Source organism: Homo sapiens, chromosome 16, assembly GCF_000001405.40.
Source record: "Homo sapiens chromosome 16, GRCh38.p14 Primary Assembly".
Classification (NCBI taxonomy): domain Eukaryota; kingdom Metazoa; phylum Chordata; class Mammalia; order Primates; family Hominidae; genus Homo; species Homo sapiens.
Genome location: NC_000016.10, coordinates 66,217,085 through 66,232,857, shown reverse-complemented (window position 1 = coordinate 66,232,857; position 15,773 = coordinate 66,217,085).

Sequence of the window (15,773 nt, the reverse complement as noted above, 5' to 3'; positions counted from 1 at the left end):
GTGTGGCGGTCAACACCTGTAATCCCAGCTACTCGGGAGGCTGAGATGGGAGGATCACTTGAACCTGGGAGGTGGAGGTTGCAGTGAACTGAGATCGCACCACTGCACTCCAGCCTGGGCAAACAGAGGGAGACTCTGTCTAAGAAGAAGAAGAAAAAAAGAAATTCACAGAATCAAACACACCTGGAGGTGGAAGGACATCAGTGGTCCAGAGGACCAATGCCTTTGTTGATGGCTGTTAGTGACAGACTGCTGCCATTGCTGATATATGGTAGATCAACTTCTGCTTGGATCTCTCCAGTGACAGGAAACTCACTACCTTAACATCAGCCCTGAATTATTCCTAGTGGGGCATGTTGAACAGTGTCACACGGGAGGTATCGAAGCCTCCATGTGCTTCAGTTTGAGCTCCAGAGTTAAGATGGCACAGCCCTTGGCCATGGTACCCAGGAGGCTGTTGGTTGTACCAGAGAGAACACATATTCACATGCAGAGGAAAGTGGCCTGGCCTGAAGCTACCTGACAGTGACTGGGAGGTCCCTGAAGCCTGCCTTAAGCAACAGATATGCAAATGCTCAGGATCCAGGGGTCCAGGAACAAGACACAGACATCCCAGTGCGGGGTTTGTCCCAAGAAATATGCAGTGCACGCAGGGATGTGCAGACAGGGTATCTTGGAGGGCGTCTCCCCAGGTATCCTGGTTAAGGTCATTGCCAGTTCTCAGAATGGAAAAGCTGGAGACTGGAAATCACTGAGTTCCCTGGATCACTCCTTCAACAAATATTTGCCTATAAGTTCTAGAGAGTAAATTATAGCAAAGTGTTCTCATAGAATGTGGCCTCGGTCAAATGTTTTTGCTGTTATCTTAAAGTCGGGAGTTTAAACTGCTCTTGGGAGCTATTACAGATGCATTCCTGGATGAAGGGGACTAGGAATTTGGTTGGGGTCCAGAGTCCTGGCTCCTGGGAAGACCATAAAAGATAAAGAGCTGTGTTCTCATCAGGGTCCCCCAGAACTGCCTGGGATGCTTGTTAACCAAGTGGAGATTCAGGGGGGTTGGGTGAGTTTGGCCTCTGCAGTTTTAACAGGTTCCCCGGGAGATCCAGGTTTGACAAAGGCTGCCTTTCAGAGCACTGTCTTAACAAGGCACGTTTGTCCTGGGTGTGCTCCCTGTCACAAAAGCACTGTGAAAGATGAAAAGAATTGCACCCATGTGACACGTGTGTGGAGGAACCGGGGAGCTGTGCGGGCCATTGTGGGATCACTCCATCCTGTAAATTGGTTGTGTTGCATCCGCTGGTCCTCTGTCCCTTCTCTCGCTTACAGAGAACTGTACTGTCTGAGAATCATCTTCTAAAGGGCTTAACTCCCTGCCAGGAGTCACTGGAAATAAATGCATCACCTCTTCCCACCCTGGCCTGCTCTCCGCTGGGACAAATCTCTTGTCTTGCCCACTGCTCTACACTCTGTGAACAAATGCTGGGAACAGCTGAGAACATTCATTCATTCCTTGCACCTAACAACCCAATCTGCCCATTTTCTATGTAGTGCAGCCTCTGTCTGCTCCCGGCTATGGGTCAGACAGCTGTGACCTCCATTGTGCAGAACGTGGGCATCAGACAGAGTTTTGATTAGCAAGAAACGTGTCGCGCTTCCACGGAGCCCAGAGATGGTATGAATGAAGCTGGCTCTGAAGATATTGCCGGTGAGATGTACCTTTTTCACTTTACCTTTCACATGTCTTTGGGAGAGCAGTACAGAAGCCCTCAGCTGTGGTGGGAGCTGCAGGTACTGACCTGTGGGCTGGTGCTTCCTGCAGCGGCTGTGGCCGAGGGTGATGTCGCCAGGAATCCCATGGCAGCTTTGCACCCCTTTGCCTCCCTGGGAACCTGAGTGCAACATTCCCAGTAAACATTTAAGAACCTCTTCTAGCCTCTCCTGACTTGCATCTTGACCCCTGCATTAGCTAGTGAACTTGAGCACGTGGCTTCACCTTTCTGAGCCTCAGTGTCCCCCTCTGCCAGGCCAGGCTGGCCCACCTCCCAGAGCCTTTGTGGAGGAAGCGTCTTTCTGCTCCCTCTTCCTTATCTCAAAGCAGTTTGTGCATCTTATTTCCTGCCAGTGAGGACAGGGCAAGATTTTGTTTATATCTGGGATTCTTCACTGCACCTCGCTCAGATTCTGGCATTGTAGAAGAAACTGGTGATCCACAGGAGAGTTCAAACCCACAAAGACCCAATGAATTAACTTCCAGGTGGGGTTAGGAGTCGGGTGGGGATAGGTTGGTGAGGTCAAGCCTGTGTTCACACCTGTCTGAACAGACTTTTATGCTGGACCCATCCTGTCTTGTGTCAAAATTGGCTGGACGTGGTGCTCATGCCTGTAATCCCAGCACTTTGGGAGGCCAAGGTAGGAGGATCACTTGAGCCTAGGAGCTCGAGATCACTCTGGGCAACGTAGCAAAACCCCGTCTCTACCAAAAATGTTAATACAAAAATTAGCCGGGTGTGGTGATGTGCGCCTGTAGTCCCAGCTACTTGGGAGGCTGAGGTGGGAGGATAGCTTGAACCTGGGAGGTAGAGGTTGCAGTGAGCCAAAATCGTGCCACTGCACTCCACCCTGGGCAACAGAGCCAGACCCTGTCTCAAAAAAAGAAACACCCACCAAAACCAAAATAATGAAGTTTCCTTCCCAGCTCTTGGTCCCCCTCCCTGGTGCTATCTTGGAATCGTGGGGCCCACTGGCTACCTGTACCTTCCAGGCTACCTGGAGCCTAATGAATGTTTTTATCCTGAGGACTTAGCTTTTTCCAGTTTTGAGCAAATACAGTTAAAACCAACTGGGTAATAATACAACAATGACCAGGGCCTTCAAAGACATTCAGGGAACCGACTTGATGTTTTAACCAATATTCTAATTTTGTTTTAATGAGCCCAACTTGCTGGTTAGATTAAAATGCTATTTCCTGATGCTGCATAAATGCAGTATTTACGCAATTGAGCCCAAATAAAATTACCGTTTACGTTTTCATCAAATGGGGAACTAGCTGCTGAGGACAGTTGAAATGCAATTTATGATTATGTAAATTAAGCTAGCTCCAGGACACTAATATGTAAATGAAACTTTCATTATTGTGAATCAAGATGCCATTAACCTTGAAAACTATATATAATTGTCACAAATATTCCTTAAAAAATAAAAAAAAGGGAACATCTCCAGTTTTGTGGTTCCCTCTTTATGGGTCATGGGCCAGGTTGTCTGAAAGTTCAGTCCTGAGCACGGAGGTTTAAGTTTTTTTTTTTTTTTTTTTTTTTTAAATTCTGTTGGTGTCTTTGTACTGCTTCGTTGAGGTGGTTGGGACTCTGTGTTGAACCCAAACAAATGGTATTTGTGCTTTTAGTCTGGGTCCCTTCTTGCATTTATTTCTCTGTGGAGAAATGATTTCTCCAGCACTTTCTTGCCAATGTCTGTTGTTGAGACAAGTCTGATGCACAGGTGTGGGTTAGGAGATCTCATTAAAGCTCTGACTCTCTCACTAAGTGGATATAGAGCCTTGCATCTATCCTGGCCTCTTTTGGGCCTCGATTCTTTCATCTGTGAAGTGAGGATGCTAAGACATGTTATGCTAGTTAGGATTTTTTAGCTGTAAGTGGCAGATTCTGACTGTAGCTAACTTAAGCTGAAAAGGAATTTGTTGGGAGGAGACAGGTGGGAGAACTCACAAAAACAACAACAAAAAAGTGAAGCAATTTCCCGGAAAGGGCAAAACCACAGCCCCTCTGGGAACTTAGCCAGCAGAACTCAGGCTGTCCCTGTTGGGATGAAGGGGCTAAATGGTTTGTTTGTTTTAAATTATTGGGTTGCACCGTTCAAGATAGAAATTCCTGGGATGGTCTGATCAGCCTCATTTGGGCCAGGTGTCCACCTCCTACCCGGGAGAGGGGAGTCCTTGACCTGTAGCCCCGTGAAAGCCACATGCGGGGGGCGAGGAATGAATGACACAGGCAAAAGCAGCAGCTGCTTCACAGCATCTTCTTACCCATCATCGGTGTCTACATGCATGGCTGGGAAGTGACTGACAAAAGCCAGCTGGGAAGTGACAGAGCCAGGACTTGAATTCAGAGCTTCTGCTCCACCCTCTAGGGTCTTCCGTCCACAATCCATGGTTATGTAGAGATCTGAAATCCTCAAAGACCTAGTGAACTAACTTCCAGGTGGAGATAACAGTTGGGATGAGGTTGGGGTGGTGGGATCAGGCCTTTGTGCATTCCTGTTTGAGTTGATTTTTATACGAGATCATCCTGACTTGTGTCAAAATAATGAACACTTCCTTCTGCTCACTGTAGCTACTCCAGAAGGAAGTGGATGGGGCAGGGGATCCAGAGACCAGAGCTGGGGGCAGGGTAGGTTAAGACTCAGGATCCCAAAAGAGCCAGAGAGAAGAACAGAGGAGCTGGCTGGAGAACATCTAGGGCCCTGGCTGTGCCCTGGGCTGCTGACCTTGGGGTCAGGTGGGCTTCACCTCTACTGCAGGGTGGGCGGGGCCTGGTCTCACTGTGTGGCTAAGTGGGTCCAGTTGTGCTGGTGGAGAGCAGGGCACCAGGATGCTCATTCTGCCTCCAACACAGCACCTGGATCAGTGCCGCTCAACTTTGGCTGCACGTAAGAGTCATTTGGGGAGCTTTTATGTGCCTTGACCTCCTCATAGACCAATAGAATCAGGAAAACTGAAAGCTCCCAGGTGATTCTCTATAGCCAGGGCTGAGAACTCTGTCTCTGGCTACCATAGGGCAGCTGTAAACAAGGCTGAGAACCTCAGGTTGCTCAAGACTTCCTTTCTTGGTGGTGACAGAGTCCCTGCATCTTAACCCGATTACCCAGGTGATATGGCTAGGTTTTGTGTCCTCACCCAAATCGCATCTTGAATTGTAATCCCCATAATCCCCATGTGTCAAGGGAGAGGCCAGGTGGAGGTAATTGAATCCTGGTGGCGGTTTCCCTTATGCTGTTCTTGTGATAGTGAGTGAGTTCTCACGAGATCTGACGGTTTTATAAGGGGCTCTTCCCCCTTCACCCAACACTTCTCCCTTCTGCCACTTTGTGAAGAAGGTGCCTTGCTTTCCCGTTCCCATTCTACCATGATTGTGAATTTCCTGAGGCCTCCCCAGCCGTGCTCAACTGTGAGTCAATTAAACCTTTTTTCTTTATAAATTACCCAGTCTCAGGCAGTTCTTTATAGCAGTATGAAAACAAATTAATACACCAGGCATAGGTGTAGAGTACATAAATCCCAGGCACAGGGCCCCGGCCAGACAAGGGGTAGAACACAGGACTCCCTGCCTCTAAGGACTTTTTTGCTTTGTTTTGTTTTCAGACGGAGTCTCTGACACCCAGGCTGGAGTGAGGGGTGCAATCTCAGCTCACCGCAAGCTCCGCCTCCCAGGTTCAAGCAATACTCCCACCTCAGCCTCTTGAGTAGCTGGGATTAACAGGCGCCCGCCACCATGCCCAAATGATTTTTGCATTTTTAGTAGAGACGGGATTTCACGATGTTGACCAGGGTGGCCTCAAATTCCTGACCTCAGGTGATCCACCCGCCTTGGCCTCCCAACGTGCTGGGATTAAAGGTGTGAGCCACTGTGCTTGTTCCCAACCTAGGCCATTCTTGAACCATGACAACCTCGCTTTCCTAGCTAAGGGGTCACCATCTATTGGGCTCTTAGGGCAGGGCAATGAAGGGGGCGGGGAGTGGTGGGAGAGGTAGAGGAAAGAAGGCAGGTTGGAAGGGCCTGCAGGGAGGGAACTCATGTTTAAAAATAATCACCATAAGGTGGTGATAGCAGAACATTAAACCAAGTGCAGGCCCTGGGTGACAGCCCAGGTCAGTTCCATGCCAATGAAGCTGGCCTTGCCAGTTACTTTGGAGTTTCACGGCTTCTGAGAGCTGTAAGGCGGAGGGAGTCATGTCCAGATGACGCCAAGGCAGGAGAAATCACTTGAGCAGTTAGGCTGGTTCCCTCCGGGGTGGAACCCCAGCCAGGGTCATGCAAAAGAAAGAGTGTATCACTGTGCAGTGGAGTTGGGGGCCAGGCAGCAGGATATTTTAGACCATGTCCGGGGGATGAGTTCTGTGGGAGGAACAAGATCCAGGCTAGAGTGGGTGGGGAAAGGATCTCAGGTCCAGGGCCAGGGCCAGGGCCAGCAGGCCGAGCCTCAAGCAGGTCTCCAGTCTCTGGGGGAAATGGCATGAAAGGTGGGGACACTGAGGTGGGAATGAGAGGCGAGAGGTCTGGGCATGCTAGGAGAGAGGGAGGAGCAGGGGGTGATGTGACCCATGGTTGTGGGGCTGGCATGAGCGCCCCTGCTGTGTGGCACTGAAGGGACACCTGTGCTCCATGCCCCTCACACTGGGCTTCAGTCATGTCTGGGACCAGGCTGGGTGACATCAGCAGAGGCGGCTGGGGAGGGTGCTAGGGACCCAAACTAAACGCATGATACTGTAACGGGGATCCACCTACAACCTCCCTCCCGCCAAACCCCAGCACCTTTCTTCCTGGGAGCCTCTATGCTGAGCTTCCCTCCCTAGGCTGGCAGAACAGGTGGCCCATGGACACCGAGGGAGAAGGGACAAGTCAAAGATGTGAGACTCAGATGTGGAAATAAGGTTTTAGAGAAGGGTCTTCTTGGCAAGACCGTGAGAGGTGACCCCGTCATCCGCAGCAGGAGGAGTAAGAGGTGCTCAGCTGGGCTCTGACTGACTTTGAAGGAATGAAGGGAGGGAAGAAAGGGCAGGAAACCAGTGGGAACTGAAATCCAAAGGGAGGCCAGGGCTTTGACCAGCTCCCTTCAGTGCCACACCTTAGCATTAGTTGTCAGTTCCCTGGCCCGGCCCCTCACCAGGGTCACCATTTCCCGAGCACCTGCTTCTGTGCATTTGTGCTTTTGCTTCCAACAGCCCACACCTGCGTCTCCCCCAGCAGAGGGCTGCCCTCAGGCAGCCAGAGTGGGGACCTGGAGCTGCCTGGGAATTCACGCTGCCCCCCCCACCAGCCTGGGTGTTCCTTAACCAAGGACTGATCCTCCTGGATGGGGCATCTCTGAGGCTTGTCCTACACCAGTGTTTTCCAACCCCCTGGGGATCTTGTTAGATTCTGATTCTCGGTAGATTCTGATTTAGTAGGTCAGGGTGGACACCAACATTCTGGGTTTCTAACAAACTCCAGGTGTTGTGATGGTCACTGTAGGTCCACAGGCCACAAAGAAACCTTGATACAGCGTCTTTGCCTGATCTTTCTTTCTGATTCCCTTTTCCCTCTACCCTACTGGTTTTCTTGGGAAGCTTCCTACAAAATCACTTTGATCTAAATCCTCATCTCAGGGTCTGCTTCTGGGGAACCCGACCTAAGACACACACTGATCCTGTGAGATGGGTATTGTCATCCCCAGTTTGCAGATGAAGAAACGAAAGCTCAGAGAAGGAAAGGCCAATATGCAAGGTTGTACAGCCATTAAGTGGCAGAGAGGGGCTTCCACCGGGTCTGCGGGAATCCCAAACCCAGTCTCCACCTATTATACCATTTGTTCAAGGGGCTTGCAATCAGGCATCCTCCACTGACACTCATTCCCCTTGGCTGTGTCCAGAACTTTGTGGCATTGCGCGCTTTCTTTCCCAGCCTTGCAGCTTTGGAAACCAGCTGAGGGCAGGTGTAGACCACCCCACCTACCCCTTCTTAATCAAAGCTTCCAGGCCCAGAGCCCTGTCTTTGCTCAATACAAAGCATAATGATCTCATTGCAATGCCAGCTCCATTATTCCAGACGCGGGGGACACGTCTAGGTGCCCCTTAAGCCTTGTCTCTTTTATTTTGGTCATAAGACAGTTAAGCAATGGGTTCTATGGAAACCATGAAACAAGGCTGAATGTCAGCATCAATGGAAAGCATTTCCATCCTTTTATCCAAGCGATACAGAGCAGAGGCCACATGCTGTGCAGAAAGAACGTTCTGTGTTCTCAAAGGGCTCCTGCAACCCTGCCCCACAACGGCTGAGGAATGGCATGGGGCCCGTGACATCCTGTCACCTCCAAACAGCTCCTTTTTGTTCCTCAGTGCGGCACCTTGGCAGGCGATGCTGCATCAACCTGCTCATAATTGTAAATGCCACCCAGTAGCCTTCCCGGCTGTGACTGTCTTAAAGATATAGATAAAAAAAGGGAACCAAATGCTGTTTTGCGTTCAGAGTAAACACACCTGTTTCCTAAAAACTTTTTTTAACTTTACACACTGAAAAGTAGGACATTTGTGGGATATTTTGGCTACACTTTTCAGCCAAACTTCAGAGCCGGATTTCTTAAAGCTGGTTTCTCAAGCAGGGCTCCTTGGGCAGGGGTGGGGTGTGCTTTGGGTCAAGGGAGGCACAGACCTGTTCTCTCTTGCTTCCACCTCCACCCCCAACAATGTTAACTCAATTGTTCAGACAAACTGAACATGTGCTTTGGTGGAAACAGCAAGTACAATGGGTGCAGTGAGGAGGGAGGGGACCCCAGCAAAGGGGTGGGAAGGGAGAAGGCACATGACTGTGCACTCCAGCCTGGGTGCCTCACCTCTCTTTGTATAAAGAACCACACTGGACTGGGCATGGTAGTTCGCACTTGTAATCCTAACATTTTGGGAGGCTGCGGCAGGAGGATTGCTTGAGCCCAGGATTTTGAGATAAGCCTGGGCAACATAGTGGGACCCCATCTCTTAAAACAAAAAATTAAAACTTAGCTGGGCACAGTGGCATGTGCCTGTAGTCTCAGCTACTTGAGAGGCTGAGGTGGGAGGATTATTTGACCCCAGGAGGTCAAGGCTGCAGTGACCATGGTTGTACCACTGCACTCCAGCCTGGGCGACAGAGCAAGACCCTGTCTCTTAAAAACAAACAAAAGTGTGGCTTGGTTCCCCTTTCCCTCAACCCTCTGTCTGAGGCTCACCTCTTGGTCACTTCTCTTCTCAAGTGCGGAGCAGGGGCTCTGGAAGGAAGCAGTGTTTGTTCCCACCTCAGGGCTTTCACCCTTGGCTAAGTTATCTTGGGCAAGTTCCCTAACCTCCCGAGTCAGTTTCCTCACCTCAGGTGGGCTCGCACAGACTGAAGGAGATCACGTGCACATATCACTTTGAACAGAACAGTCAGTCCTGCATAATCATTTTTCATCCTTGCAGTAGCTGTGTGTGGCTGTCCCTCTCCAGTGTTTCATGTCAGGGGAGGCTGCAGGGGGGAGCTGGATGGCAGGGGCAGGTCTTGATGGATGAGTCAGAGCTTCCCAGGGGATGGAGGGTGGGGGCTGTTCTCCGTGTAAAGCATATTAGCCCGTCATCAGGCACCTACCACCCCCACATTTATGTTTTTAGCACATACTTTGTGTGCCAAACACTGTTCTGGTTCAGATGACAGCTCAGGCTGTTGACTCGCTCCTTGAACCCCATCCATGAGCTGCTAGGAGTAAAAGGGGAGGTTGATGGAGCTTAGGACTGCCCTCAGTCACTGGCGCAAAACCTGTGAGACCCACTTAGTAGAAGGTGGTTGGATCCAACTATGGGGTGATATGGCACCTGGAGTGAGAACAAGAACCGGATGTGGAAGTGGGTCCTGTCACCATCACTCCCAGGGACTCATGTGGGGGATTTGCATTTCCTATCCTTGCTACTTTAGGCTCTGCTGAACTGAAGTCCTGGTTCCCAGGGAATACAGCAAGGGTTCCCCTAAAATCACAGCCTTTGCCTGGTCACATTGGGCTCCTCTGTGCTCGTGGACCAGCTGCCAGAGAAAGGAGTTAAAATACTGGCAGGGGTAATGATGAGTTATCACAATGACTATCCCATGGAGGTAGAGTTGCTACACAGCTGGGGCAGGAAAGAGCAAGTCTAGAATTCAGGGGATACCCTGGGGCCTCTCTTGGTGCTTGCAATCCTGGAGATAGCCATGAACAAGCAGTGACAGGTATGGTACCAGGACATGGTACCTGGAACTCAGACCCTTTAGGAATGGAATGGCAAGAGCCTGAATGAATAGAAGAACTGCCCAGGGGGATTCTAGAAGGGGTGGCAGAGGATTGTATTAGCTTTCTAGGGCTGCCGTAACAAATTACCGTAGACCACGTGGCTTAAACAACAGATACAGTGTCTACAGTTCTGGAAGCTAGAAGTCCAAGATCAAGGTATTGGCAGGGTTGGTTTCTTCTAAAGGCTTGTCAATGGCCATCTTGTGTCTGTGTTTTCACATGGTCTTTCCTCTGTGCCCATATGTGTCCAAAAGGACTATTCTTATAAAGATATTAGTCATATTGGATTAGGGACCAACCACCGTAATTGAGCTCATTTTATTTTGATCATTTCTTTCATGGCCCTGTCTCCAAATAGTCACATTCCGAGCTACTGGGGGTTAGGACTTCAACATATGAATTTTTTGGGGGATACACTATAGCCTATAACAAGGAGGTTGAATATATATATATGTATATATGTATGTGTATATATATGTATATATGTATGTATCTATATATGTATATATGTATGTGTGTATATACACATATATGTGTGTGTATATATGTATATATGTACATATGTGTATATATGTATATATGTGTATATATGTATATATATGTGTGTATATATGTATATGTGTGTATATATGTATATGTGTGTATATGTGTATATGTGTGTATGTGTACATGTATGTGTGTATATGTGTGTGTATGTGTGTATGTGTATGTGTGTGTGTATGTGTGTGTATGTGTGTATGTGTGTGTGTATGTGTGTGTATGTGTGTATATGTGTGTATATGTATATATGTGTGTATATGTATATATGTGTATATATGTGTGTATATATGTGTGTATATATGTATATATGTGTATATGTGTATATATGTATATATATGTGTGTATATTATATATGTGTATATATGTGTATATGTATATATATGTGTATATATATGTATATGTGTGTATATATGTGTGTATGTATGTGTGTATGTATATGTGTATATATATGTGTGTATGTATATGTGTATATATATGTGTGTATGTATATATGTATTTGAGACGGAGTCTTACTCTGTCTCCCAGGCTGGAGTCCAGTGGCACAATCTGGGCTCACTGCAACCTCTGCCTCCTGGGTTCAAGCAATCCTCCTGCCTCAGCCTCCCGAGTAGCTGGGATTACAGGCGTCTGCCACCACGCCTGGCTAATTTTTGTATTTTAGTAGAGATGGGGTTTCACTATGTTGGCCAGGGTGGTTTCGAACTCTTGACCTCAGGTGATCCACCCACCTCGGCCTCCCACAGTGCTGGGATTACAGGTGTGAGCCACTGCGCTGGGCCAATGATGAATATTAATGATAACCTCAGTACCAACTGTCCCAGCAAGAACTGTTCTAAATTTGTTTGAATTATCATGGACTCCAGCCTGGGTGCCTCGCCTTTCTTTGCATAAAGAACCACACTGGACCAGGTGTAGCAGCTCACACATGTAATCCTAACACTTGGGGAGGCTGAGGTAGCAGGATAACTTGAGCCTGGGAGTTCAAGACCAGCCTGGGCAACATAGTGAGACCCCGATAACAAAAAATAGTAAAAAATAAATAGCTAGGCTCAGTGGCAGGTGCAGGCTGAGGTGGGAGGATTCCCACTGTTCTAAATTTCTTTGCTTATTTATGTATACAAGAAACTGTAACCTGTTATCACATTGAAAATCCAGTGACAGAAGAGAGTGAGCTGAATTTGGAGCATGGTTGGAGCTGAGTGGCACAAGGGCTGGGCTGTGGCAGCTGCTCCCAGTGCAGTGCCGGTCTTCCACTGGTGCTCATTGTTCGTACGCACGTAGATGGCTTCCAGCGGCAAGCACCTGTGACTTCCCTTCCCAGGGTCTTCTGGGGCTTGCTCAGCTGGTGCTCAGGGCAGGCAGGAAGTGCTGCAGAGTTGAGTGAGGCCCCTAGGAGCAGCCCTCAGCCAGCAAAGGATGAGAGTTAGCGTACAGATAATTAGCTTCCTCATCCTCAGCAAGGATGAAAGGGGGGCTCCACAGTGTCTTCCAGAGGTCACCAGAGGGATTGGGCCTGGGAGCCCAGAGTGTGTCCTACTTATTAATATTCTCTATGTGGGCTTTCTCTCCTTCCTGTCGACTTTCCCACTCCCCATCTGGGGCTTCTTGGGATCATTTCTTAAGTAAACAACTTGCATTTAAATCCTTGTGCCAAGATCTGCTTCTAGACAAGAAGAGGAATGGGCTGGGTACAGTGGCTCATGCCTGTAATCCCAGCACTTTGGGAGGCTGAGGTGGGAGGATTGCCTGAAGCCCGGAGTTCAAGACCAGCCTGGGAAACAAAGTGAGACCCCATCTCTACAAAAAATAAAAAAAAATTAGCTAGATGCTGTGGCATGTGCCTGTAACCCTAGCTTCTCAGGAGGCTGAGGCAGGAGGATTGCTGAGGCCAGGAGTTTGAGTCCTGCCTGGGCAACATAGCGAGACCCTGTCTCTCCAGAAAAAGAAAAAAAAAAAAACCAACGAAATGAAACTGTATTTGAGTGCCTACTATTGGCAAAGATTTGTACCAGTGTGTTCACATCCTCACTTCTTTAAATCCTGTGAGGATGACTTTGTCATTCCCATTTTACCACATCAGGAAACTAAGGCTAAACAGACTTGCTGTGGACCCAGCGTCCTGCCAACAATTGATGGAGCCTGGATTTGTTTTGGATGACGGGCAATCCCTAGTTCCCTAAGGACAGGCTACTGATGTCCTGGACTATCAGTGCAAGTTTCAGGCTTAGCAGTTATGTGGACAAGTGGCTTCTCCTCTCTGGGCCTCAGTTTCCCTGTCTGTGAAATGCAAAGATAGAGCCATAACATGTCAGAAAGCCCTTCTGACTCTTGCAGTCAGGAGGAGAATCCATAGGTGATAGCACTCCTGGGCCCTGTCCTCCCCTGCCACACAGCCAGGTCTCCCTGAATTCTTCCAGATAAAGTCTTGGAGGCCATCAGAGGGTTGGCCTCTCAGCTGGTCTCCTGCTCAGGTTTATTGACAGATGTTTAAGGGTTAGATGGATTATCTCCCTGCAATAAGACAGAAAACATAATTTTCCAAATGTCAGTTGACTCTCTAGGAAAAGCACATATTTTGGCTGCTCTGAAATGTCATGGAGGGAAGTCAAAATTATTGGAATTCATTGATGAAACTGTAATCTTTCCCCATGTACTTTCCACAAATGCTGTATAACTCTTTCTAGGAGGCAGTTTCTATAGATTTAATGAAAAGAATGAGGCAGGTAAGATGGAGGATGGCAGCAGATTAATGGTTGCTTGAAAGATCATGTGCAGATGGCAGTGGATGATGGATGGCAGGAAGTTGGCACAGATAGACCAAAGCTTTCTAGGCACCAGGCACTGCACTAGATACAAAACACATATGACTTGAAGGAATCATCTCTGTTTCTGAGATGAAGGGTTTTAAATTCAGAGAGGCTAAGCCATCAGGACAAGGTCACACAGCAAGGTGGTGACAGAGTCAGGAGTTAGACCCTGGTCCAGTCATGAGGAGCAAAGGCTTTGGAGCAACAGGACGTGGATTTGAATTTGCTGCCCACTGATGTGTCATTGTGGGATCCTTGGCATGTCCCTTGGCCTCTTTGAGTTTCTTCATCTTAAATGTGGGATAACACCATTCTTGGTAGCCTGGGGTGTACAGCTGTTGATGCACCTTCAGGCATCAGTGCTGAGGATCTCACTGTGACATTATGCTGGCTACTAGAGAGCCTCTCCCCACTAGGGTCTGTCTACTCCTAACCTTCTCACCCCACTCCCCTGCCCTGTAGGAAGGTAATTTCTGGCTGGTGTTTCCCTGTGGGTTATTGACACCCGGAAGCTAACGCTCCACCTTATCCTTGCCTGTTAGTCTCCTGTGTCTTTGGCATTTGCCACTACAGAAGTATATGCAGGTAGCTCCCACCAGATTCTGGTTTTTCTTTGTCATTTTCCCAATTTTTTCCATCTTTTGGGCATCTTGCTTTTTTTCTGGAGTGGTCAGTGATGTCTGCTTGTCTCAGCACTTGAGGCTCCCGGGTCTTCACTCCCGCACAAGTTATCCAGCCCCATCACTCACATGGGACTTCCACTCTCTCTCTGTTGAGGTTACTGCCTAGACCACACCCCATCCTCGCTCTGGCTTGGGGACCTGAGCTCTAGTTGAAGAGTGTTTGAAGGTTGCTGACAACCATCGCTTCATCTATCTGCCATGGTGCCTGAGATCACACCATTAGAAAGTCACTTGTTTGGTTAAAGGTAAGGTGTATTCTCTTAAAATGCAGCACTAGGTGGAAACGAAGTTCTGTGAGCCCTCCATACCCTAGCAAGAGATGCTGCTAAGTAACAGGCTATAGGGTGGGTAAGATGCTGGGTCATTCCGATATTCTCCTTAGTGAGTGAGGAACTCTCACCTGTTCTCATAGCCTCAATCCTGAAATTTTCCCATTGTTGCGGGCTGGGCTGATGCTGCCTTTAATGTCAGCCATCAAGACACTCTGAAGTAGACAAACTTGATTTTCCCCCACCTATCTGAGGTGAGATGAGGAGGAATTTTAGAATTTTATCAGAAGCTTCAAGCTGTGGACTTAGGCTGAGGGGGAAATCCAGAAAAACCCAATGAGAGTCTATCAAAGGCCAGAAGGAACTAGTTTTTCTGAATGCTGATTCCTTAACCAACCTCTCAACTCTGATTGGTCTGGATGATATGACCAGATCGGGGGCTCTTTTGGGTGCAAATATGGGGGCTTAGTATCAGGAGCCATATGCACAGAGGATGCAGCTAAAGGGAAAAATAAAACCAAACACAGCCCCAATCTCAGAAGACTCTGAGCCTCTCCCCAGCCCACCCCCATTCTTTTGTAATAATGATAGCTAAAATTGTTGGGAACTTATCATATGCCAGGCAATGTTCTAAGTGATTTATGTATATTAACTTAATGGATCTGCAAAATAACAGCGAAATAACTCTTATTTTCTGTCCATTCTGCAGATGAGAAAACTGAGGCACAGAGCAGGTGTGTAATTTTCTCTCGAGGTCTGTTAGATTGCAGAGCCAGAGTTTGAACCTAGGTGTCCCTGCTCCACGGGCCGTGCACTTAACCATTGTATATTACTGCCTCTTACATGAGATAGATTTGCTTCCATGCTGACCCACAGGGACCTCCATGCTAAGCACTGATGTCCTGGTTTTCAGCTAGGGAAACATTTTCTCTGCAGCCTCTGGCTCCACCCTGCATACTGCCCTCACACCGGTGTCTGCCTACTGCAGTCTTTGGAGAATTACCTCCGGCTCTTGCGGGGCAATGCCACACACAGGAAGGCAGGGCCCTGGTGTTGGACAGATCTGGATGAATTTCCTAACTTCCAACAGCTTCATTTCTTTGGGAAAATTACCTCTGCTTCTCAAGCTCTCAGTTTCCTCAACTGTAAAATGATCACACACTTTTATAATGAGAAACTGAGAGTAGTGACGTGAAGGAAGGATACAAAGAGCTGTGACACATTACACCGAGGGTAATAATGTTGATATCTGGTATTAGGGTAGGGTAGATCAGGGATAGTGTTCCTGGAGAAGTGATGTATCAACCGAGATATAAATTTAAAAAAGTAGTGCTTCATCGTGAAAAACTCGAAGACTACAAAAATTCACACAGTAAAAAGTCAATGTTGACTGTGTGCAGTGGCTCATGCCTATGAGGCAAGAGGATGGCTTG